We start from the raw sequence: 23,559 nt of genomic DNA, 5'->3' as shown, positions 1-23,559 counted from the left end.
TTACATGTATAAAATTCTTTCATCTTACAATCCAGATGCCATTATTATGCTCCTATTACAGGAGACACAGAGAGGTTGTGAGGCACAGCTAAAAGTGACAGGTGGGATGTGCACTCATGCATGCTGTCTGCAGCTTCATGCCCTCACCCATTGTATTAGTTTGTTTTCACACTGCTGATAAAAGACATACCCGAGACTGGGCAATCTACAAAAGAAATGGACTTACAGGTCCACATGGCTGGGAGGCCTCACAATCATGGCGGAAGGCAAGGAGGAGCAAGTCATGTCTTACATGGATGGGAGCAGGCAAAGAGAGAGCTTGTGCCCGGAAACTTCCATTTTTAAAACCATCAGATCTCATAAGATTCATTCATTATCACGAGGACAGCACAGGAAAGACCTGCCCCCATGATTCAATTACCTCCCACTAGGTTCCTCCCATGACACTTTGGAGTTGCGGGAATTAAAATTTAAGATGAGATTCGGGTAGAAGCACAGCCAAACCATATCTTTCCACTTCTAGCCCCTCCCAAATCTCAGGTCCTCACATTTTGAAACCAATCATGCCCTCCCCACAGTCCCCCAAAGTCTCAACTCACTTTAGCATTAACTCAAAAGTCCACAGTCCAAAGTATTATCTGAGACAAGGCAAGTCCCTTCTGCCTATGAGCCTGAAAAATCAAAAGCAAATTCGTTACTTCCTAGATACAATGGTGCTACAGGCATTGGGTAAATACAGCAATTCCAAATGGGAGACATTGGCCAAAATAAAGGGGCTACAGGCCCCATAAAAGTCAAAAATCCAGCAGGGCAGTCAAATCTTAGAGCTCCAAAATGATCTCCTTTGACTCCAGGTCTCACATCCAGGTCATGCTGATGCAAGAGGTAGGTTCCCATGGTCTTGGGCAGCTCTGCCCCTGTGGCTTTACAGCCCCCCTCCTGGTTGCTTACATGGGCTAGCATTGAGTGTCTGTGGCTTTTCCAGGCACATGGTGAAAGCCGCTGGCGGATCTACCATTCTGGGGTCTGGAGGATGGTGGCCATCTTCTCACAGCTCCACTAGCCGGTGCCCCAGTAGGGACTCTGTGAGGGCTCTGACCCCACATTCTCTTCCACACTGCCCTAGCAGAGGTTCTCCATGAGGGCCCCACTCCTACAACAAACTTCTGCATTTCCATACAACTTCCGAAATCTAGGCAGAGGTTCCCAATTCTTGACTTCTGTGCACTCACAGGCTCAACATCATGTGGAAGCTGCCAAGGCTTGGGGCTTGCACCCTCTGAAGCCACGACCAGAGCTTTACATTGGCCCCTTTTAGCCATGGCTGGAGTGGCTGGGATGCAGGGCACGAAGTCCCTAGGCTGCACACAGCACAGGGACCCTAGACCCGGCTCATGAAACCACTTTTCCTCCTAGGCCTTTGGGCCTGTGATGGGAGGGGCTGCTGTGAAGTCCTCTGACATGCCCTGGAGACATTTTCCCCATTGTCTTGGGGATTAACATTCTGCTCCTTGTTATTTATGCAAATTTTTGCTGCCAGCTTGAATTTCTCCTCAGAAAATGGGATTTTTTTTTTCTATTGCATTGTCAGGGTGCAAATTTTCCAAGCTTTTATGCTCTGTTCCCCTTATAATTCTGAATGCCTTTAATAGCACACAAGTCACCTCTTGAATGTTTTGCTGCTTAGAAATTTCTTCCACCAGACACCCTAAATCATCTCTCTCAAGTTCAAAGTTCCTCATATCTCTAGGGCAAATGCAAAATGCCACCAGTGTCTTTGCTAAAACATAACAAAAGTCACCTTTGCTCCAGTTCCCAGCAAGTCCCTCATTTCCATATAAGACTACCTCAGCCTGGACTTTATCGTCTGTATCACTATCAGTATTTTGGGCAAAGCCATTCAACAAGTCTCTAGGAAGTTCCAAACTTTCCCACATTTTTCTTTCTTCTTCTGAGCCCTCCAAACTGTTCCAACTCTTGCCTGTTACCCAGTTCCAAAGTTGCTTTTTTTCTCTTTCAGAGATGAGACTCTCACTTTTTTTTTTTTTTTTTTTCGGTGATGAAGTAGGCTGTGAACCAGGACTGCCTGACAGCAAAACCCATGCCCTAGGCTCAGGCTGCCTTCTGAAATCTCGTCACAGGGAAACAGGGAGTAAGTGGGCCCTGACCTCTAGGCCAAGAGACTCATCTTTCTCTTTGATTGAACATCAAATAGGATTCCCTCCACATAGCCAGGGAGCACTAATCATTGGCTTTAATTAGAAGTCAGCTAGGGCCTCACTCTTTCCTAATGAGCACCCCCACACTCCCCAAACTGCAGGACCTGCTATCACTCCTGCAAGGGCAAACAGGAACATCTGCAACCCATGATTACACACACTGCATCTTGCTGGGAAAATGGTCGGCTCTTCCCTCCACAGCCCCAGTCACTTTGATGGATTGATACAGTCAAGGGCTGAAATTTGAAAGGGAAAATTCAGCTTGAGCTTGGGCAGAACTTTCTTTTTTTTTTTTTAATTGTTATTATACTTTAAGTTTTAGGGTACATGTGCACAACGTGCAGGTTTGTTACATATGTATACATGTGCCATGTTGGTGTGCTGCACCCATTAACTCGTCATTTACATTAGGTATATCTCCTAATGCTATCCCTCCCCCCTCCCCCCACCCCACGACAGTCCCTTGGTGTGTGATGTTCCCTGTCCATGTGTTCTCATTGTTCAATTCCCACCTATGAGTGAGAACATGCGGTGTTTGATTTTTTGTCCTTACGATAGTTTGCTGAGAATGAGCTTGGGCAGAACTTTCAAAGATTCAGAGCCAAGTCACAACAGGGAACTCTCAGGTGTCAGCAAGTGTCCTGTGATGCTGGGCAGGCTAAAGCTAATTGTATCCTTTTTTCTTTTTTCTTTCTTCTTTCTTTTTTTCTTTCTTTCTTTCTTCCTTTCTTTCTTCCTTTCTTTCTTTCTTCTTTCTTCTTTCTTTCAGAGTCTTGCTCTATCAACCAGGCTGGAGTGCAGTGTCAAGATCTCTGCTCACTGCAACATTCACCTCCTGGGCTCAAGAGATCCTCCCACCTTACCCCCCCCGCCTCACCCCCCACCTGAGTAGCTGGGAGTACAGGCACACGTCACCAAGCCCAATTAAATTTTGCACTTGTTGTAGAGACAGGTTTCGCTGTGTTGCCCCGGCAGGTCTCGAACTCCTGAGGTCAAGCAATCTGCTGGCCTCATCCTCTCAAAGTGCTAGGATTACAAGGTTGAGCCATTGCCCTCAGCCCAGCTGATGGTATCCTTGTGAGGTTGTCGTGGCCAGTGCGGATGAAAGTGTGTGATTCACACAATGGGACCAGCCCAACGTTTCCAGTCTGCAGTGTACATCACTCGTGAACATATGTGCAGAGTTTGTAAATCTTCAATTTTTCTGTTACTATTTTTTTTTTTTTTTGAGATGGAGTCTTGTTCTGTCACCCAGGCTGGAGTGCAGTGGCATGTTCTCGGCTCACCGCAACCTCCACCTCCCAGGTTCAAGTGATTCTCCTGCCCCAGCCTCCTGAGTAGCTGGGATTACAGGTGCCTGCCACCACGCCCGGCTAATTTTTGTATTTTTAGTAGAAACGGAGTTTCACCGTATTGTTCAGGCTGGTCTCAAAATCCTGACCTCGGGTGATCCGCCTACCTCGGCCTCTCAAAGTGCTGGGATTACAGGCATGAGACACCATGCCTGGCCAATTTTTCTGTTACTTCTTTATGCATTTATTGAATTCTTTCCTGTTAAATGTGAAAAATTGTGTTTTGTATTTTGTGTTTGATTTCATTTTCTCCATCATTGACATAATTATTTTTATCTTCCCACCTAAGAGGACGTATCCTCCACCACACCTCTCAGCAGGACAGTTTACTCATCAACTTGCCATGTTTTGGCCAAAGCCAAGATTTTGAAAGAAGTGTCCATCTGGAGCACCAAGGCTCAGGCCGTGCAGCCTTCCCCAGCCTCAGTGTCACTTGGTGTCAGGGGTCGGGGGTTGGGGGAGCAGGTAGCAACATCTCAGCCTTGAGATGGCTTCCCTTTTCTTCTTTGTAACCAGATTTTGAAACATTGTTAGTTTATTTTTATTTTATTTTACTTTTTATTTTTTGAGATAGGGCCTCACTCTGCCACCCAGACTGAAATGCAGTGGCACAATCTTGGCTCACTGCAACCTCCGCCTCCCGGGCTCAACTAATCTTCTCACCTCAGCCTCCCAAGTAGCTGGGACTATGCCAGGCTAAAATTGCTAGTTTCATCAGGCTCTGATCCACAGTGACATTTTGCTATCTGCCTCCTGAGAAATGTATCTCTTTTTGTATAAACAACAAAGTTTTAAAAGTGTATTTTCTGAAATCAGTGTTTTACATGCCAAAATTAAAAAAAAAAGGTTTATATCTGGGATGCATAGGTAGTAAAAATTTCCTTCACCATGGAGTTTGAGAAGCCCGGTGTGGGAATCAAGCAGCTGAGGAATTGGATTCCACCCCTGTCATCTCTTTGAAGCCTAAAATCTGAAGAGGAAACTGAAATTGGGCAGGGAAATCAGAAAATAAAAACGAGAGATGGAGAAGTTTCTGTGCCACAATTGATATGACCAGAGGTGATCATAGATGTCCCCCCATTATGACCTGGCACAGTGCAATTCCCTTTTATAGAAGATGAAGCTCAGTGAGGTAACCTGGCTTGTCAGGAGGCGCTCAGATTGTTAGCGACTCACATGTCCATCCAGAGCCTGGGTCTCTAAACTCCAGGTTCAATCCCTAACCCTGGTCCATTAATTCAAAGCCACACAAAGGAAAGGAGGGTCCGAATCAAGTCAAAACTGTTTTATTGTCGTTTACATATTTAATAGAAAAAGGAATGTAGCAAATGCTCAGGGTTGTATGAAAAAAAAATCCAGGTTTGTGCAGGTTGCTCTGTTTACATCTGGGAGCAGGGCTGTCCCCACATCAGGCACAGCAGCTGCACTTCTCCGACGCCCCTTTGCAGACGCAGCCCTGGGCACACTTGGCACAGCCCATGGGGCAGCAGGAGCAGCAGCCTGGGGGAAAAGGGAGAGTGAGAGGTCAGAGCGGACTCAATCAGGCACTTCCCTGGCCCAACAGCAGGCCTGGTTCGAGCTCAGACTCCAGACCCAGAGGATGATTTTTTAGGTTGGTACAGCTCTGTTCTAAGACCGCAGGTGGTACCTTTGGAGTTTGTGTCTCAAAAGAAAAAGGCTGCCCTGCCACATTCGAGCTCAGAGCAGAAAGCCTGGAGAGGGAATGACATGGCCAACAGGGGCAAAGAAAGGCGTTCCCCAGAAGCATGCACTCCAGGCCAGCCTGGAGTTCCCTCCCAACCTTAGCCACAGCCCCAGATTCCTGGAGATGGCCCCGCACTCACTCTTCTTGCAGGAGGTTCATTTGCACTCTTTGCACTTGCAGGAGCTGGCACAGGAGCAGGAGCCCCCTGCAAGGAAGAGAAAAACGCAGTGGGCAGTGAGTGAGAGGAAGAAGGTACAGCAGTGGGTCAATGAGTCTCCAGTGTGCGCCATCCTCTGTGCAGGGCCAGCCCTCAGAGCTCCTTTCCCACTTAGAGCAGAGAAAGACAAGCCCCATGTCCTCTCCACTCGTGCTGGGAAGGGCAAGCACCCTCCTATTTCACCCCACCAGGAAGGTCCCAGATACACACACAACACAGGAGGACTGGGATTGGGGGCCAAAACCTCCTGTCCTGAATCTCAAAGACAGTGTTCCCTGCCTCCCACCCACCCTGCTTGCTTAGAGCCTAGACAGAGCATTGGGGCTTGGCCAGCAGCCCCCTGATCAACCAGGTGATGTGAAACAGGACAGCCTTGAGCCTCAGGACACTCAACTCTGACATAGAGGCACAGTGAGGAGGGCAATGCTCTCAGGAGCTATTCCAAGAAGAAAGTACTGGACGAAGTAAAGGGTTCCCGTCTGCTCAGAGCTCAAAATGCGACCTCCTCAAACGCAGGGACACTGTACTGTGGCTGGGAATTGGGCATTCCCAGGCGCAGAGCCGGGGTTCCCTTACCAGTGGCGCAGGAGCAGTTGGGGTCCATTTCGAGCCAAGAAATGACGGGAGAGGCGAAGAGGCAGTCAGGCAGCTGGAAGGCACGTTGGAGCCTGGAGCCAGCTGCTCCTTTTGCAGGCGGAGATGGGACCGGACGCAGAGGCCCCGCCCCGCGCTTGCACCCGCCCCGCTGAGTCTGGGCCTCCTGTGGGTACGTGGAGGGACTGTGAGCAGCAGGCCGGCCGGGCGCAAGGTGTGCACCGCGGGTCTCTTGCTTGGCACCCGCTCACTCGCTCGCTCGCTCAGGCCTGTGCGCCCGGTCGTCCGCGGCGTCCGTGCCGTCCTGCCCGCGCAACTTCCCCATATTCCCCATTTCCTTGTGGTTGCTGGCCATCTCCGTCCCCGAGCGTTCCGGGAACCCAGCCTCTGGTGGTCGCGATATTCCCACCCCCACCACCCCATCTGCGGTATTTCGCCATTCCCGGAGCCGGTGTGCAACCCCAGCTTCGTCCCTGGGTAGGCCTGAGCTGGGGAGCGCAGCGAGGGAGTTGTGTGCAGAGAACAGTCATGGACGTGACCCTTACTTTCTGTCCTCCTGCCCTCCAGCATTGCCTGTCACTATCCCCGCCATGGTCCTTCTGCCACTTTCTCTTGAGCCCAGCAACACGGTGGAGGCGAGCCCTCCCTTCCATTCCCCATTCCTGAGAGGTTGTATGGGCACATTTGTCTGGGGCCTCCTTTACATAAAATTCTGCAGGGGCTCCTCCAAAGCCCCTAGCGCGCCCACCCAACTCCAGGAGAGTAGTCCTGAAAATGCGGAGTGCTCCCAAGGGCGGGATCTGCTTAGGTGACTCCAGATCCGGAGGATGCAGAACCTACGTTAAATAAGAAAGCAAGAAGTGATTATTTACCTTTCAATTTTCCTATTACACAACAATCTGCGTGAGTCTGTTTAATCACTTTAGTTTTTTGAGCCCCCTCAAGAACAATAAAAGGGAAATACTATTCTAAACACGTTTTTCCAATGGAAAAACTAAGGCACAAAGAGCCTTAGTAATTTGCCCAAGGTTATGGCTCTGTGAAATGGTGCCACTCTACCTGAATCCAGCCAGCTTCCCAAGAGGAGGAAAGAAAACATAACGATTTCTTTTGGTCGAGATATGTCTTCAACACCACTGTGCTGCTTACAATTGTTATTATTATCATTGTTTTGAAACAGGGTCTCACTCTGTCATCCAGGCTGGAGTTCAGTGATGAGATCATGGCTCACTGTAGCCTCAGTCTCCTGGGCTCAATCTATCCTCCCACCTCAGCCTCCCGAGTAGCTGAAACTACAGGTGCAGGCCATCATGCCTGGCTAATTTTTTGCTCTTTTTTTTTTTTTTTTTTTTTTTTTTTTTTTTTTGTAGAGACAAGATTTCATCATGTTGCTCAGTCAGGCTGGTCTCAAACTCCTGGGCTCGAGTGATCCACCTACCTTGGTTTTCCAAAGTGCTGGGATTACAGGCGTGAGCCCCTGTGCTGGTCTGCTTGAAATTTTTTAATCAGGGGCCGGGCACGGTGGCTCATGCCTGCAATCCCAGCACTTTGGGAGGCCGAGGCGGGCGGATCATGAGGTCAGGAGATCAAGACCATCCTGGCTAATATGGTGAAACCCCGTCTCTACTAAAAAAATACAAAAAGTTAGCCGGACGTGGTGGTTGGTGCCTGTAGTCCCAGCTACTCGGGAGGCTGAGGCAGAAGAATGGTGTTAACCCGGGAGGCGGAGCTTCTAGTGAGCCAAGATCGCGCCACTGCACTCTAGCCTGGGTGACAGAGCGAGACTCCGTCTCAAAACAAAAAAAAGAGAAATTTTTTAATCAGGGAGAAGCATCAATCTCGACCCTGGACAGCTTGAAAAGTGATGGAGATGGGAAATTTATTAAATATGTGTATATACACAAAATACACATTAGAGTAATCGATATGTCTGTAAGTAAGACTGATTCTTGATTTTAGCATTGGTAAAGACTTTGCGTTCATTTAAATATATGTGATGATTAATTTTATGTGTCAACTTGACTAGGCAAAGTGCCCAGTTCCTTGGTCAAATACCAGCCTAGATATTGCAGCAAAGTTATTTTTTAAGATGTGATTAACATTTAAATCAGTAGTCTTTGAGTAAAACAGACATCAGAGGGGATTTATCAAGTGTTACCTGCCCATTCAACCTGGGAGTGTCCAAAGGACACCACTTTCACCACATCTGTGAGAAATAAATTTGTGAGGGGCGCCCTAGCATCCTGGAAGAGCTCTGTGGTCACTCTTTTCTGCAGGTAGAAATTCAGTGGAAACTGCTGCCACTGAATTGGGAATCCTATATGCAATGGCAATAATTTGGCCCCAATGTGGCAGGGGCCAAAGGACAGCACTTAATTGCCAAAGGCAGCATGGGCCTGGTTATTGTCATGGATGGCACAGTCAAAGCAGAATAGGATGACTTGCAGGCCAGGTGCAGTGGATCACGCCTATAATCCTAGCACTTTGGGAGGCTGAGGCAGGTGGATCACTTGAGCTCAGGAGTTTGAGACCAGCCTGACAAGCATGGCGAAACCCTGTCTCTACCCCTCCAAAAATACAAAAATCAGTTGGATGTGTTGGTGCCTGCCTGTAGTTGTAGCTACTTTGGGGGCTGAGGTGGGAGGATCACTTGAGCCTTGGAGGTTGAGGCTGCAGTGAGCCATGTTGGTGACACTGCTTTCCAGCCTAGATGAGAGAGTGAGACCCTATCTCAAATAAAAAGAATAGTATGAGTCACAGAGACCTGTGGTGTTGGCTAGTTGATCATGGTGGTTGTATGAGCAAATAGAGGAGTCAGCCTACAAAAATCTTACTCATCTGTAGAATCAAAATATCTGCTTCCTGTCCCCATGACTTTATGCTTTACTGGTCTCAAGGTATTAGTCCAAAAGGAGGAATGCTTCCTTGGGAGACACAATGATTCCATCAAACTGGAAGTTATGACTCCCACCAGGCCACATTGAGTCCTTAGACTTCTGGATCAACAGGCAAAGAGGCCAGCACTGTGGCTCACACCTGTAATCCCAGAACTTTGGGAGGCCGAGGCAGGTGGATCACTTGAGGTCAGGAGCTTGAGACCAGCCTGACCAACATGGAGAAACCCCATCTCTACTAAAAATACAAAATTAGCCGGGCATGGTGGTGCATGCCTGTAATCCCAGCTACTCAGGAGGCAAGTCAGGAGAATTGCTTGAACACAAGAGGCGGAGGTTGTGGTGAGCTGAGATCGTGCCATTGCACTCCAGCCTAGGGAACAAAAGCGAAACTCCGTCTCAAAAAAAAAAAAAGAAAAGAAAAGAAAAGAAAAGAAACAACAACAACAACAACAAAACAGGCAAAGAAAGGAGTCACTATTCTGGCTAGGGTGATTGTGGCTACTTCTTGGTAATCACAATCTCTGCAATCAAGGTAAGGAGGAGGATGTCTGGAATACAAGAGATCCCTTAGGGTGTCTCTTATTACTACCATGTCCTGTGATTGAAGCCAATGGAAAACTTTAACAACCCAACTGGGACAGGAATGCATGGCCCAGACCCTTCCAGAATGAAGGTTTAGGTCACCCCACCAAGTAAAGAACCACCATTGGCTGAGGTGTTTACTGAAAGCAAATGGAATAATAGGTCATAAAAGAAGAAAGTTATAAATAGCAGCTATGACCATGTGACCAGTTACAGGTAAGGAAATGAGGAATGTCATTGTTATGGGTATTTCTTCATTATGTTGTTATAAATGTGTGTGTGTGTGTGTGTGTGTGTGTGTGTATGCATGTGTGGCAAATATTTTTGTTTTCTTCCATCTCTTATCCCTTTGTCATGTAACAGAGGATGTATTAACTTTACATCACAATATTTAAATATTGCTAACTTTATATCATAGTATTTAAGTTATAGGATGTCAAGGAACATTCCTCAAGGATTTTGCAGTCACTTTTGGGGAGAGAGTTTGTGTCATTTCAGGCATACACAGGACAGTTGTTTCACATTAGGTGGAGGTGTGACCTTGTTTTAACATTAAGTATAGTTTAAGGAGATGTTTATGTATGCCAAATTAACAAGTGGTGGACTGCAATGGTTAGTTTTATGGGTCAGCTTGGCTAGGTTATCATACCCAGTTGCTTGGTCAAACATTAATATAGATGTTGCTGTGAAAGTGTTTTTTAGACCTGATTACCATTTAAATTAGTAGGTTTTGGCTGGGCATGGTAGCTCATGTCTATAATCCCAGCACTTTGGGAGGCTGAGGTGGGTGGATCACTTGAGGCCAGGAGTTAGATAACATGGTGAAACCCTTTCTCTGTTAAAAATACAAAAATTAGCTGCTTAATCTGTTAAATAAAATACAAAAATTAGCTGCTCTTTGAAAAATACAAAAATTAGCATGGTGGTGCATGCCTGTAATCCCAGCTACTTGGGAGGCTGAGGCAGGAGAATTGCTTGAACCCGGGAGGCAGAGGTTGCAGTGAGCTGAGATCGCACCACTGCACTCCAGCCTGGGTGACAGAGCTAGACTGTCTCAAAAAATAAAATAAAATAAATCAATACATTTTGAATAAAGCAGATTACTCATTATAATGTGTGTGGGCCTCATCCAATCAGTTGAAGGCCTTAAAAGGAAAGACTGAGGTCCCTGGAAGAGAAAGGAATTCTACCTGTAGACCGCCTTCAGATGAAAGACTGTAACATCAACTTCTGACAGAATTCCCATGCTGCCAGCCAGCCTTGCAAAGTTTAGACCAGCCATCCCCACAATCACATCAGCTAATTTCTTAAAGCTTTCTTTTTATCACTATCTATCTAGGGACATTTTATTGGTTCTGTGTCTTGGGGAAAACCATGAGTAATACAAATATATCTTGGAAAATATGAATCATTTAAAGGAGAATTTTTAGGTAAAATTGTGGTGTAGGTGGTAGCAGATATGGCAGGCATCTGTTTGTATGTACCACAAGGGCGTGGACTGTCCTGCTCATGGTTTTCTATGTCCAGTGCTGATCAGAATTTCACGGGAAGACTGAAGACTCTCTGGACCACAGTTAACATGCTCAGATAGTTGATGAGGAATGTAGAGCTCACATGGCTAGGAACAGCAGGCCTGGCTTATTGGTCTGGAGGTAGAAAAACGTCCCTATGCTATGAATAAAGATAATAAAATTATAGCTAGGTTGGGTGTGGTGGCTCATGTCTGTAATCCCAGCATTTTGGGAGCCAGAGGTGGGCGGATCACTTGAGCCCAGAAGTTCAAGACCAGCCTGGACAACATGGTGAAACCTCATTGCTACTAAAAATATAAAAATTAACCAGGTGGGGTGGCATGTGCCTGTAGTCCCAGCTACTCAGGAGGCTGAGATGGGAGGATCACCTGAGCCTAGGAGGTGCAGGTTGCAGTGAGCTGAGATCACCCCACTGCACTCCAGCCAGGGTGACAGGGTGAAACTTTGTCTCAAAAAAATAAAATAAAATAAAATAGAATAAAATAAAACAAAATAAAATAAAATCATAGATAATATTGTAGTCTGCTTGATACATGGCAGGTGCCATTCTAAGTTCTTTGCATGTATTAAGTCATTTGCTGTCACCAGCCAGACCCTATTATTCAGCCTATCTTACAGTAGAGGAGACTGAGCCACAGAGAGGTTGTGTCACTCAGGTATAAGTGACACAGCTAGGTTTTGCACCAATGCATGCTGACTGCATCATAATGCCCTCAACCACCACCCTATGTCACCATGTTCCGTGAAAAACAAGGACACTGAAAATCTGGCAGTGAGGCAGCAGTAGAAAGAGCACTGAGCTGGCAGTCATGCTCTCTGCATAGCTCTGTGACCTCTCTTGGCTTCAGTATGCCACCTCTCAAGCCAGGGACACAATTGGACTAACTGACCAAGGGCTGACCCAGCTCTGAACTCTGAGAGGCAGGGCTTAGAGCCCAGTGACATCATGATCTGCCAGCTGTAGCCAAGATGAGAGGCCAACTGTAGTGAAGGTTCCAGCCTCTGACTTCTAAGCTGAGTGACCTTGGGCAGGTTGCAGGTCCAGAGAAGTTACTTGTCCAGGGTCACACAGCTAGTGAGTGGCACAGCAGGGTGAATGCAACCAGGCCCCAGCAGATGCTAACGGCCTTCTAACATAGAGACACCAAGGAGGAAGAATAAGGGCAAGAAGCCACAAGCTTGGTCCTCAGGAAGCTCAGGGGCTGGGGAAACAGAGAGGAGGAGACCCCATCCAGCCTGGGAGGAGGTGGGCCATTGCCTTGGGCCTGAGGGTCAGAAGGTGTTTGCCAGGCAGGGAGGGGGAAGGATTTGTGTTCTAGCCTGGGGAGGGAGGAACTAGCGGGAACACTGGAATCACCCTGAGACATTTGGAAGGGAAAATGACATCTGGAAGATGACAGAATCAGTTTCGTCCCTGCACGGTCACTCTTTCACTGGCTCATGGGGTATTCAAATGATAGGAAAAATTAGAATGGTTCTTACGTTTGTTCAAATGCTGTGGCAGCATCTTAATCCCAGAGGGCTTTGTGCAGGAAGTCATCCACCCTCCCCCTGGTACACAGTCAGGAAAGCTTCATTCCACTCCCCAGCCTCTGACCCAGAGTAATTCTTCCCAGACCCGTTTTTCCCCAAGAGCTTATCAAGAGAGATTCTGTCTCCAACAAAGTCCATGTAAACAGAGTGATCCTAGTGGTCATTAAACCCTAGCCAGGAGCCAGGCCAAGATCTCATTTAATCCATAAATAGGGATACCATCTTTTTTCTACAGATGAGGAAATGTAGGCTCAGAGAGGTTGAGTGACTTGCCCAGGCCACACAGCCAGGAAGTGGTAAAGTGGGCTGTGAACTAGGACTGCCTGACATGAAAACCCATGCCCTTGGCTCAGGTTGCCTTCTAAAACTCTATAAGGAGCACCTTCAGGCAAGTGTGCTCCTGATTCCTGGGCCAAGGCACTCATCCTCCTCTTTGACTGAACATCAAATAACATTCCCTCCGCATAGCCAGGGGGACTAACCGTTGGCTTTAATTACAAGTCACTCAGAGCTTCACTCCTTTCTAAAGAGCGCCACCACACCCTCCAAACTGCTGAATGCCATCACCCCTGCGTGGGCAGACAGGAAGAACGTCTTCTGCAACCCATGATCACACACACTGCATCTTGCTGGGAACATGCTGGGCATTTCCCTCCACATCCCCAGCCACTTTGACGGTTTAAGTAGCCAACGGCTGAAATTTGAGAGGAGTAAATTCAGCCTGACCTTGGGAGGAACTTACAAAGATTCAGAACCAAGGCAAAACAGGGAGCTCTCAGGGGTGTGCGAGTGAGTGTCCTGTCAGTGACACTGGGCAGCACAAGCCTGACGGTTCCTTGTGGGGATGTCTGGATCAGTGCTGCTCAGGGTGTGCCAGCCACGCACTGGGGCCAGTCTGAGAACTGTTTCCAGGATGCAATGCACACCCTTGGACAAATGTGTAGTGTTGGTAATTCTTTTATTTTTCCTATGTTAATTTGTTCATATATTTATTGAAAAGTTCCTGTTGAATCTAAAAAATTGTCTTTGTATTTTGTGTCTTTTAAACTTTCATTTTCTTATTAACTCCTTATTTTACCAGAGTTTAGGTCTGTGACTAATGGAGAACAAAACAAAACAAAACAAAACTGGTCATTCCCCACAGGGAGTTTGGGAAACCGGATGTCAGATTCCAGCCACTGGGGAGTTGGATTTCACCCTCTGTAGTCACTTTCAAGTCTAAAATCCCACGAAGAACTGAAGTTGGGCAGGGAAATTGAAAGTAAAAGTGAGGAATGGAGAAGTTTCTGTGCCACATTTGACGTGAAACTGAAAGTGATCATGTATGTGTCCCTCCTGCTCCCATATGATCTGGCACAGCGCCATTCAGTTTTACAGAAGCTGAAGCTCAGTGCAGTAGCCTGGCTTGCCAGAATGCACTCTTTCTTAACGGCTCACATTTCCATCCACAGCCCAGGTCTCTGCCCTCCCAGTTCAATCCCTCACCCCAGTCCGTTATTTTTAAGGCATATAAAGGAAACCAGAGACAGAATCAAGTCAAAGCTGTTTTATTATCATTCACATTATTTCATAGAAAAAGGAATATAGCAAACGGTCACGGTCAGGGTTGTACATAAAAAATCCAGGTTTGTGGAAGTCGCGTTCTTTACATCTGGGAGCGGGGCTGTCCCAGCATCAGGCGCAGCAGCTGCACTTGTCCGACGCCCCTTTGCAGATGCAGCCCTGGGCACACTTGGCACAGCCCACAGGGCAGCAGGAGCAGCAGCCTGGGGGCAGACAGGAGGCGGCAGAGATGAGTACTAGCGACACCGGGAATAAGGATTCCTGCTCTCCCTGATAAGGATCACTGAGGAGGCAACAATTTCCGCGCAATGGGGCATCCCCAGACTGCTTTAATTCCCCTGAGGATGGTGGAGAGGGGACAGGCTGGAGGACAGGGAAGGGGTAGAGGAAAGAGAGGATCCCACTTACTTTTCTTGCAGGAGGTGCATTTGCACTCTTTGCATTTGCAGGAGCCGGCGCAGGTGCAGGAGTCACCTGCAAGGAGAAAAGACAGAGGTGAGAACCGTCCCTGGATACCTGAACAAGGGACGGCGTACTAAGAGCCCGGGGCCGAGTTCCTCAGTCCACAACCGATTCCTGGGAACTTGAGCAAGCCATTAACTCAGATCTCCTTAACGGTAAAAAGGGGGCTCCGAATAACCTAGAATGGAGAGAAAGATACCCCAAAACTCTTTGGGAAGGAGCAACTCCTGTCCTGAAATTGAGTGACCAGAGAAAGAAAGAGGGGTCAGAAATTGCTTCTCTAGCGCTACAGTCTACACTGGGCATCCCCAGCCTCTTACCGGCGGCGCAGGAGCAGTTGGGATCCATGGCGAGCTGAAGAGGCGGCTAGAGTCGGGACAGGTTGCACGCGGGTTCGCTGGGACTTGGAGGAGGCGTGGTGGAGTGCAGCGCGGCAAGCAGTGTTTATAGCTAGAAAGAGCCGGGACGAGTGCAAAAGCCCCGCCCCGGCCGGGCGCTGCCTGCACACGCCCCGCGCTGAGTCACTTGCGGCTCCAGGCGAAACACCCGGCCGCGCGCACTGGGCCGGGCGCACCCGGCTCTGCACACGGGCCGCGGGCGGTCAGTTCCCTGAAGGCGGCCCACTTGCGCCTCGGGGACGCCTCGGCGCGGAAGGGGCTGGGTGCAGCGGGAGGACACAGTGTACCGGGTGCTGGGTGCCCACGCCGTGCGCCTCCGCCGTGTGCACAGCTCCCCTCCCTCCTGTCCTGTACTCGAACCTGAGCCGTTAGCGCGCGGGTGAAAGCGGGACTTGGGAATGCTGCTTGCATTCCCAAACCGGTTGGAAGTGCAGACAGGTTACAACTCTGTAGCAGCCAAGGCTTAATAATTGTGCAGCATCACAGTAAACCCGTGGGGTGGTTACTGATGACGTATCCGTTGCATGTTGAGTACTTTTAGCGTGTAACAGGGACTGTAGGAAGTGTGTTGTGTGTGAGATGTCACTTAATTCTGTAGCAACCCATAAGATAAGGACTCTCCAGTATTCTCATTGTAGAGAGGAGAAACTGCAGGTCCAGAGAAGTTAATTTGTCCAGAGTCACACAGCCAGTGAGTGGCAGAGCAGGGTGAATGCGACCAGGCCCCAGCAGATGCTAACGGCCCTCTAACATAGAGACACCAAGGAGGAAGAGTAAGGAGAAGAAGCCACAAGCTTGGTCCTCAGGAAGCTCAGGGGCTGGGGGAACAGAGAGGAGGAGACCCCATCCAGCCTGGGAGGAGGTGGGCCATTGCCTTGGGCCTGAGGGTCAGAAGGTGTTTGCCAGGCAGGGAGTGGGAAGGATTTGTGTTCTAGCCTGGGAGGGAGGAACTAGCGGGAACACTGGAATCGCCCTGAGACATTTGGAAGGGAAAAACCCCACAAGAATATTCTTCCCCTGTGGAGGCTGAGGGGAAGAGCCCAGGTGGCGTCCACATTCCTGTCTGGAGAGGCACATCCTGCCTCCCTGCCTGCGCGTGTCTGGCGCTGTGTAAGGGCCTTAGATCGTCAACCTTGGAAGGCCCGAAGTGTGTCATGCTAGGAGTCAGGAAGTGGTTACTGGAAGCTTCCTGGCAGGCTTAGGGAATGCCGATTGCCACAGTGAAAGTTTAGTGAGGTGGTGGGCGGGGGAGGACAGGCTGTCCTTGCAGCCCTTACTGTAAGTTCCTGTGGAAATGTCTTTCTAGCTCAGCCGAATCGTCACTTCCTCTGGGGACCCTGTCCTGACCCCCATGACCGTGGCTGCCTGTGGAAGGTGCTGGTAAACATCCTGTTCTTTCCCCTCCTGGCGCTTTCCGTGCCTGTGGTATGTATAAACTGCGGGGACTCTTGGATTGGTGTCTCTGCCCCTCCTCACCAACCCCTGACCACTGGAAATGCCAAGGGCAGTCATTGTCTGCCTCTGGAATTGTGTCTTCAGCTTCCAGCACCGGGCCAAGTTTGCAGTAGACGCTTAATAAATATTTGTCAAATGAATTCATGGGGGTAATGGCCTGGACTGCTCTTCCCTTCCCAGCCCCCACCTTGTATGAAGGCCGACTACAAAATGAAAGTAAACACCTCTTGACCACCCTGGAACCTGCGTGCTCACTCTTGTAAAAACACCGCACAGGGCAGGGGGGCGAGCTCTCAGATGGACTAAATTTCAGTGGTCACTCGGCCACTCACTTACTCAGTGACCTTGGGGCAATTACATGCCTGGACTCTTCTGATCCCTGGTTTACTCATCTGTCAAATGACTGGGTTGTACTAGAATTTATATCCAAACATCCTCTGATTTTAGAGCCAAGATCTTTTGAAATCTCATGATGTCTGGCAGCTCTGTGGATCGAGAGCTCTCTGGGCAGTGGACCAATTTTGTTGTTGTTATTTATGTATGCACAGTATTATATACCAAATCCCTGGTTGCTAATAACTCAGATGGTCACCTATGCACTCAAGGCAAACAATCCAACTCTGTGAAGAAACAGAAGGGCTTATTTTGCCCTCAAAAGCATTGGTTCTAGCCCTAAAGCATTGGTTCTAGCCCTGGGTTTGTGCCAGCCATGTTGGCGGTAAAACTTGCTTGTGGGCCTGAGCTGTCTCTTTTGAATCACTTTGACTCTGAGGGGAGAGAAGGATAATGACTCAGGGAAGGTGGAGCAGGCCACAGGCCTAGTCTGTTCATCTCCATGCCCCCAGAAGCTTCACTGTGCTTGGGACAGAGGTGAAGAGGGAGGACCCATGTGCATGTTTGCATCCCTGACTTGGCAGAGGATGAGGGAGTGAAACCAAGCGATATTAGATAAGGAAAAACATCCCCCTGAATATCTGTTGTGAGTCATCAATGTGAAGTGATGACGTGACCCTGGGCTGCATTAAGAGAGGTATGCCATGTAGAATGAGAGAGGTTATGTTTTTCATTCTCCTTTTAGCTGCAGGGGTGGATATATATAGATCTGCTGCCCAGCCATCCACTTGTCCTTCCCCTGTGATGATATCCTTGGTTTTCCTTTGAAGAACTACCCCTCCTTATTACCAGTCCATATGGTTTTGATGGCGTATGTCCCATCTGTGAGCTCCTAGGCCATTCCACCTACCTAGTCACAGTAATTGGCTCTGATTGGGCCACACAGCCACCAACCAAAGAGAATCAGTGATACTTTTGCTGGGAATGCTGGGAGAATGGCAGATAGTCTTTCCATCTGGACTTGTACCTGAGAGAATGTGAAGCTGAGTGAGTTTCTAAAGCTTTTTGGCTCCGTGAGAAGAGCCCAAAAATAAAATAATCACAAAGGAAATGGAGCCTGACAATATCTTGGAACACCTGGATCCAGCCATGCCTGAAGCCATTATGAGCCAATCATTTCCTTTTTTGCTTAAATTATTCCAGATAGAGTCCTAACTGGCATAGTTGGGCAGAACCCCCCTCTGCCCTGAAGGCTGTGTTCATTGTTGGGCTCCCATTGTCCAGAAGACAGCTGATCACAGGGGTCCTAAGGCCCAAAACCCTATCATGTGAGCATCAGCTGAGAGAGGTAGGCAGGTTCAATCTGGAAGTGAACAGTTACCTTCAAATATTTGGCAATGGTTGCCCCAGTTATCTGTAGCTATGCAACCAATTACCCACAATTTAGGAGCTTAAAACAATGACCATCTTATTGTCTTTCCTGGATTCGTGGGTCTGGAGTTGGAGCAGTGCTCACTTGGGCGATTCTTTTGTTTCATTAGCTGAGGTCACTTGGTGCTGTTCGGCTGGTGGATGGGCTGGTCTGGAGAATCTAAGATGGCTTCAGTCACACATCTGGCACTTTGGCAGGGATGGCTGGAGGCTGGGCTCAGCTGGAACTGTTGACCAGAGCTCTACATGTGGCTTCTTCAGCATGGTGGCCTCAGGGCAATTAGAGTCAGGTCATACAGTTGAGAGTTTCAAGAGATGGAAGTGGTAGCTGCAAGTCTCTTAAGCCCTGGACCCTGAAACTAGCACAGGTCGCTTGCACCATATTCTATTGGTCAAGCAGTGACAGAACCTGCCCAGATTCAAGAGGAGGGGAACAAGACCCCCTGTCTTGAAGGGAGGAGTCAACAAATTTCAAGCATGTCTAATCTGCCATAGTAGTCATGGGGAATAATATTGAGCACCTGCTGTAATTCAAGATTTGTGCTAAGAACACTATGAGTTTATCTTAAAGCCTAACATAGCCCTACAAGGCAGGTGCTGTTATCTCCATTTTACAGATGATGCCCTGAAGAGTTATGGGACCTGTTCAGGATAACGCAGCTTGTAAGTGGCAGAGCTAGGATTTGAACTCATACCTACATGTTTATACCATGTTGAAAAGAGGAAATTAGGCTTGCTTTCTGTGGTCCTAAGGGCAGAATCAGGACAATCGCAGTGGGTGGGGTAAGGTTACAGGAATAAAGGTTGTTTTCTAGGTAGCAGGGTCTTTCCCCTCCTCTCCTCTCCTTCCCTCCCCTCCCATCGCCTTTCTTTTCTTTTCTTTTTTTAAAGACAGGGTCTCAGCTCTGTTGCCAGGCTGGAGTGCAGTGGTGTGACCATGGCTCACTGCAGCCTTGACCTCCTGGGCTTAAGAGATCCTCCCACTTCAGCCCTCCTGAGTAGCAGGGACTAAGGGACTATAGGTGTGTGCCACCACACTTGGCTAATTTTTTGTATTTTTTTTGGTCGAGATGGGGTCTCACTATATTGCCCAGGCTGGCCTCGAGCTCCTGGACTCAAGCAGCTCTCCCACTTCAGCCTTCCAAAGTGTTGGAATTACAGGTGTGAGCCACTGCACCCAGCCAGAAAGGCCTTTCTTGGCAATTAGAGCTGATTTTGAGTGGAAGGGACTCCTTGGGAGATAGTTCCCTGTTACCACAGCAGAGGACAGCAGATGCCAGCATTAAATAGGGGGATAGGAAGAGGTTAGTTTCCTTCTTCCCCAGGAGATTCTGTGACTCAGTGGCTCCCATCACAGGTACCATCTATCTGCTCTTAGTTCTTCCTCCTTCAGTGGACACTGCCTTCATTTTGGAGGTGTATTAGTTATCTTGTTGCATTACAAATTACTTAGCAGCTTAAGACAACACACATGAACTATCTCATAGTTTCTGTGGGCAGGAATCAGACAGGCTTAGCTAGGCCCTGTGGCTCAGGATGTCTCCTGGATAGCAATCAAGGTGACAGCCAGGGCTGCAGTCAGCTCAAGTGTCAGCAGGGACAGGATCTGCTTCCAAGCTCCCTCATGTGGTTGTGGACAGAATTTGGTTCCTTGTGGGCTATGGTACTGCGGCTTCCTTCCTTGTCGCATGGGTCCCTCCACAGAGCATCTCACCGCAGGACAGCGAGCCAGTGAGAGGGCCAAAGAGTGAGAACAAGGGTGGGAGCAAGAAAGAAGTCATGGTGTTTTATTTTTTTTTAATTTTGTTTATTTATTTATTTATTTATTTGAGATGGAGTTTTGCTCTTGTTGCCCAGGCTGGAGTGCAATGGCGCAATCTAGGCTCACCGCAGCCTCCACCTCCCAGGTTGAAGCAATTCTCCTGCCTTAGCCTCCCAAGTAGCTGGGATTTCAGGCGTGCGCCACCATGCCCAGCTAATTTTGTATTGTCATGGTCTTTTATTCATTCATTCTTAGTGAAAGATGATACTAACTTTATTCAAGAGGCATCCAAGGCATGGAATCTCAATCACATGGCCTCCAAATAGTGATATGATAGCGGCCCAGGGCAGGATATAGTCCCCTTCTCTCCCCTGCCATATGGGGCAGGGATGAAGAGGAAATTTTTCATTTTAAAACATCAGAAAAATTAGGCCGGGCGCAGTGGCTCACGCCTGTAATCCCAGCATTCTGGGAGGCTGAGGCAGAAAGATCACTTGAGGTCAGGAGTTTGAGACCAGCCTGAGCAACACAGTGAAACCCCCGTCTCCACAAAAGATTTTTAGAAGTTGCTCGAACCCAGGAGGTTGAAGCTGCAGTAAGTTGTGATTGTGCCACTGTTCTCCAGCCTGGGCAGGGAGGACAAGACTCCAGCTCTATTTTTAAAAAATTAAAATAAATAAATAGGCCAGGTGCAGTGGCTCATGCCTCAATCCCAGCACTTTGGGAGGCCAAGGCAGGTGGATCACCTGAGGTCAGGTGTTGGAGACCAGCCTGGCCAACATGGTGAAACCCCATCTCTACTAAAATTAGAAAAATTAGCTGAACGTGGTGGTGATGCCTGTAATCCTAGATACTCAGGAGGCTGAGGCAGGAGAATCACTTGAACCCAGGAGGCGGAGGCAAGAGAATCGTTTGAACCCAGGAAGTGGAGGTGCAGTGAGCCGAGATCGCGCCACTGCACTCCAGCCTGGGTGACGGAGCGAGACTCTGCCTCAAAAATAAATAAATAAACATCAGAAAAATCATACCATTGACAACCTATAGTCAACCTAGATGGAGGTTTTCATTCTACAAGATTGTTTCCATATAGTAGAAATCCTCTTTGTGAACCTTCACTTCTCTCAGTACTCTCCATTGTTCCATAAAATAGATATTTCTCCCTTTCCAAATTATTTGGAAAACAACTTCCTCCCTTCTTTTTTTCTTCCAATATTTGAATTAAGAAGTCATCATCTTTTGTAACTTAATCACGGAAGTGATCTCCCATCCCTGTTTCAGTATTCTGTTCTTTAGAAGCAAGTCACTAGGTCCAGGCTGTGCTCAAGGGGAGGGGATTACACCAGGGCACGAATACCAGAGTCTGGCATCACTGGGACCATCTTCAAAGCCTGGCTACCACTGGGCAAAGGCGCTGGTATGTATGTGACTTCAGGCTTTTTGCATGTGCTGTTTCCTTTGTCTTGGATGCTCTCCCTAACCCTCTGTCTCCTTCATCTGGTGGGTCTCAGTTTAAAGGCAATTTGCTCAGGAAAGCTTTCCTGGAACCCCAAATAGGCCAAATCCCTCGGATACCAGCAAGCACATCCCTTCTTTGTAGCACTTATTGCAATTACAGTTGCTAGTAAGAAAGAAGCTAACACTTTTCTTTTTATTAATTTTTAATAGAGATAGGGTCTTGCTATGTTGCCCAGGCTGGTCTTGAACTCCTGGCCACAAGCAATGCTCTTTCCTCGGCCTCCCAAAGCACTGGGCTTACAGGTGTGACTCACCACACCCAAACTGCTCACACTTTTCTATATCACACATCCCATGCCAGCTGTTCAATTCTTTGTATATGTGAACTCAATCCTTTCGACGGCCCTATAAGATGGGGACTGTTATTATCCACATTTGACAGAGGGAGAAACCGAGGCTTAGAGAGGTTAAGTAACACTGCCAGTCACTCACTAGGAAAGGGTCACACCAGGCGTTGGAGCTCCAGAGCCTGAGAGCTTGGCCTTCTGTCCCTTAGCCTCTCCCTGCAGCCGGTGCTGTGTGTGGCGTTTTGTTTAATCCTTCTCCCCAGGAGGCTGTGGGCTGTGCCTGCTGCATTCACCGTCGTAGCTCTGGCACCTGACACTGCGCCCGGCTCATGGTGGGTGCTTAATAATGCAGAGGAATGGAGAGAATCGGATCCTGCCAGGAGCTGGAAGGAGGCTCTGTGAAGGGCAAGGCCTGCCTTGTGGAGAGCCAGCTTGGAAAACCTGCATTCAGAGAGAAGCTAAATTCCTGCTGCATCATCCCTTCCTCACCCATCTGGCCTCAACTTTCCTTCTCTGTCTTACCTGTCCCCAAGCCCTGTGCTTCTGCTGTTGGGTCAGACCCTGCCATGCCACACCCTTCTCCAAACACACACTCCATGTTTTTGCTCCTCTTCTACCATCCCCCAAATGCCCTCTCCTCCAAGGAGTCTTTACTGAGCCCCCAACCTAATGGCATCTCTCCCTTCTTTTTTTTTTTTTTTCTTCTGAGACAGGGTCTCACTCTATCACCCAGGCTGGAGTGCAGTGACTCTGTCATGGTTTACTGTGGCGTCAAGCTCCCAGACTCAAGCAATCCTCCTGCCTCAGCCTCCCGGGTAGCTGGACCACAGGCATACCCTAGCATGCTCAGCTAATTTTAAACATTTTTTCGTAGAGACAGAAGTCTTACTATGTTGCTCAGGCTGGTCTCAAAGTCCTGGCGTCAAATGATCCTCCTGCTTTGGCCACCCAAAGTGCCAGGATTACAGGCATGAGCCACTGCACCTGACCATCTCTCTTCTTAAAGCCCCCAGAGATTTTGGGTTTCACCTCCCCTCCCTCCCTGAGCCACAGTCTTCCCATCTATCAAATGAGCACAGCCTACGTGCCTTGGCCTGGGCTTTTCTTCCAGCTCTAAAGCATCCAGGATTCCACTCAGGTTGTTCTTGCAACGGTCTTATCCTCCCCATCAGTCTGTGAGCTCCCCGAAAGGCAGAGACTGTTTCTTTTCATGTATCCCCAGTGACCAGCAGAGGGCATGGTGACTTTTGGGCATCCATAAATATTTTTGTGATGAAATGGTGTGGAGGGCTGGGTTGAGATGCAGACTCAGTGGATATGTACGTCTCCTGTGCGTGCCCAATCCCATGCAAAGTCAGAAAAGGTCATTCGTTAAAAGGCTGAATGGCAGAAGTTAAAGAAGAACCCAACCAGGAAAAGAACAAAGTTGGAGGACTCACACTATCCAATTCCAAAAGTTACAATAAGCCACAGTAATCAGGGCTGTGTGGTATTGGTACAAGGACAGGCATAGATCGATGGAACAGAATCGAAAGTCTAAAAGGAAATCACATGTATGGTCAATTGAATTTTGACAAAGATCTCCAAACGATTCAATAGAGAAAGGGTAGACGTTTAAACTAATGATACTGAGACAACTGAATATCCACATGCAAAAAAAAAAAAAAAAGAAATTAGATTTTTACCTCACATTATACATGAAAATTAACTCAAAATGGATCA

General features: G+C 48.2%; 1 protein-coding gene, 1 long non-coding RNA gene and 1 pseudogene across 3 annotated transcripts, besides 4 other annotated features; 1 reads left to right on the top strand and 2 right to left on the bottom strand.

Annotated features, from left to right (window-relative positions):
• Nucleotides 1–4,841: 4,841 nt before the first annotated feature.
• MT1L (metallothionein 1L (pseudogene)) lies at nucleotides 4,842–6,199 on the bottom strand (annotated as a pseudogene). The gene is made up of 3 exons (NR_001447.2): nucleotides 6,070–6,199; nucleotides 5,416–5,481; nucleotides 4,842–5,071 (listed from the first exon to the last, which is right to left on the bottom strand). The product of NR_001447.2 is annotated as a metallothionein 1L (pseudogene) (transcript).
• Nucleotides 5,963–6,496: an enhancer, noted in NCBI's record as "H3K4me1 hESC enhancer chr16:56651076-56651609 (GRCh37/hg19 assembly coordinates)". NCBI's record gives its function as "activates a minimal SCP1, AML or CMV promoter by ChIP-STARR-seq in primed H9 embryonic stem cells {active_cell/tissue: H9 hESC(primed)}" and the evidence as "EXISTENCE:reporter gene assay evidence [ECO:0000049][PMID:30033119]".
• Nucleotides 13,375–13,494: a silencer, noted in NCBI's record as "silent region_7511". NCBI's record gives its function as "represses an Ori minimal core promoter by ATAC-STARR-seq in GM12878 lymphoblastoid cells {active_cell/tissue: GM12878}" and the evidence as "EXISTENCE:reporter gene assay evidence [ECO:0000049][PMID:35858748]".
• On the bottom strand, nucleotides 14,163–15,076 carry MT2A (metallothionein 2A). The gene is made up of 3 exons (NM_005953.5): nucleotides 14,977–15,076; nucleotides 14,603–14,668; nucleotides 14,163–14,397 (listed from the first exon to the last, which is right to left on the bottom strand). Exons 1-3 carry the CDS (start codon nucleotides 15,002–15,004, stop codon nucleotides 14,306–14,308), a joined length of 186 nt encoding a protein of 61 aa, NP_005944.1. The 5' UTR covers nucleotides 15,005–15,076; the 3' UTR covers nucleotides 14,163–14,305.
• Nucleotides 14,941–14,990: an enhancer, noted in NCBI's record as "active region_10852". NCBI's record gives its function as "activates an Ori minimal core promoter by ATAC-STARR-seq in GM12878 lymphoblastoid cells {active_cell/tissue: GM12878}" and the evidence as "EXISTENCE:reporter gene assay evidence [ECO:0000049][PMID:35858748]".
• Nucleotides 15,031–15,340: a silencer, noted in NCBI's record as "silent region_7510". NCBI's record gives its function as "represses an Ori minimal core promoter by ATAC-STARR-seq in GM12878 lymphoblastoid cells {active_cell/tissue: GM12878}" and the evidence as "EXISTENCE:reporter gene assay evidence [ECO:0000049][PMID:35858748]".
• LOC124903695 (uncharacterized) lies at nucleotides 15,227–16,751 on the top strand. The gene is made up of 2 exons (XR_007065079.1): nucleotides 15,227–15,916; nucleotides 16,361–16,751. It is a non-coding gene; the product is annotated as an uncharacterized LOC124903695 (long non-coding RNA).
• Nucleotides 16,752–23,559: the final 6,808 nt, after the last annotated feature.

The sequence above is a fragment of the Homo sapiens genome, chromosome 16 (assembly GCF_000001405.40).
Source record: "Homo sapiens chromosome 16, GRCh38.p14 Primary Assembly".
Classification (NCBI taxonomy): domain Eukaryota; kingdom Metazoa; phylum Chordata; class Mammalia; order Primates; family Hominidae; genus Homo; species Homo sapiens.
The sequence above is the reverse complement of the archived record's forward strand: the minus strand, read 5'-3'. Positions and strand labels throughout refer to the sequence as shown.

Bases quoted from the DNA above. Each gene is read 5' to 3' on its own strand.
- MT2A (NM_005953.5), bottom strand. From the start codon at position 15,004: ATGGATCCCAACTGCTCCTGCGCCGCCG. The intron at 14,669-14,976 runs GTAAGAGGCTGG...TTCTCCTTGCAG, and splicing joins CAACTGCTCCTGCGCCGCCG to GTGACTCCTGCACCTGCGCC. The intron at 14,398-14,602 runs GTAAGTGGGATC...GTCTGCCCCCAG, and splicing joins ATGCACCTCCTGCAAGAAAA to GCTGCTGCTCCTGCTGCCCT.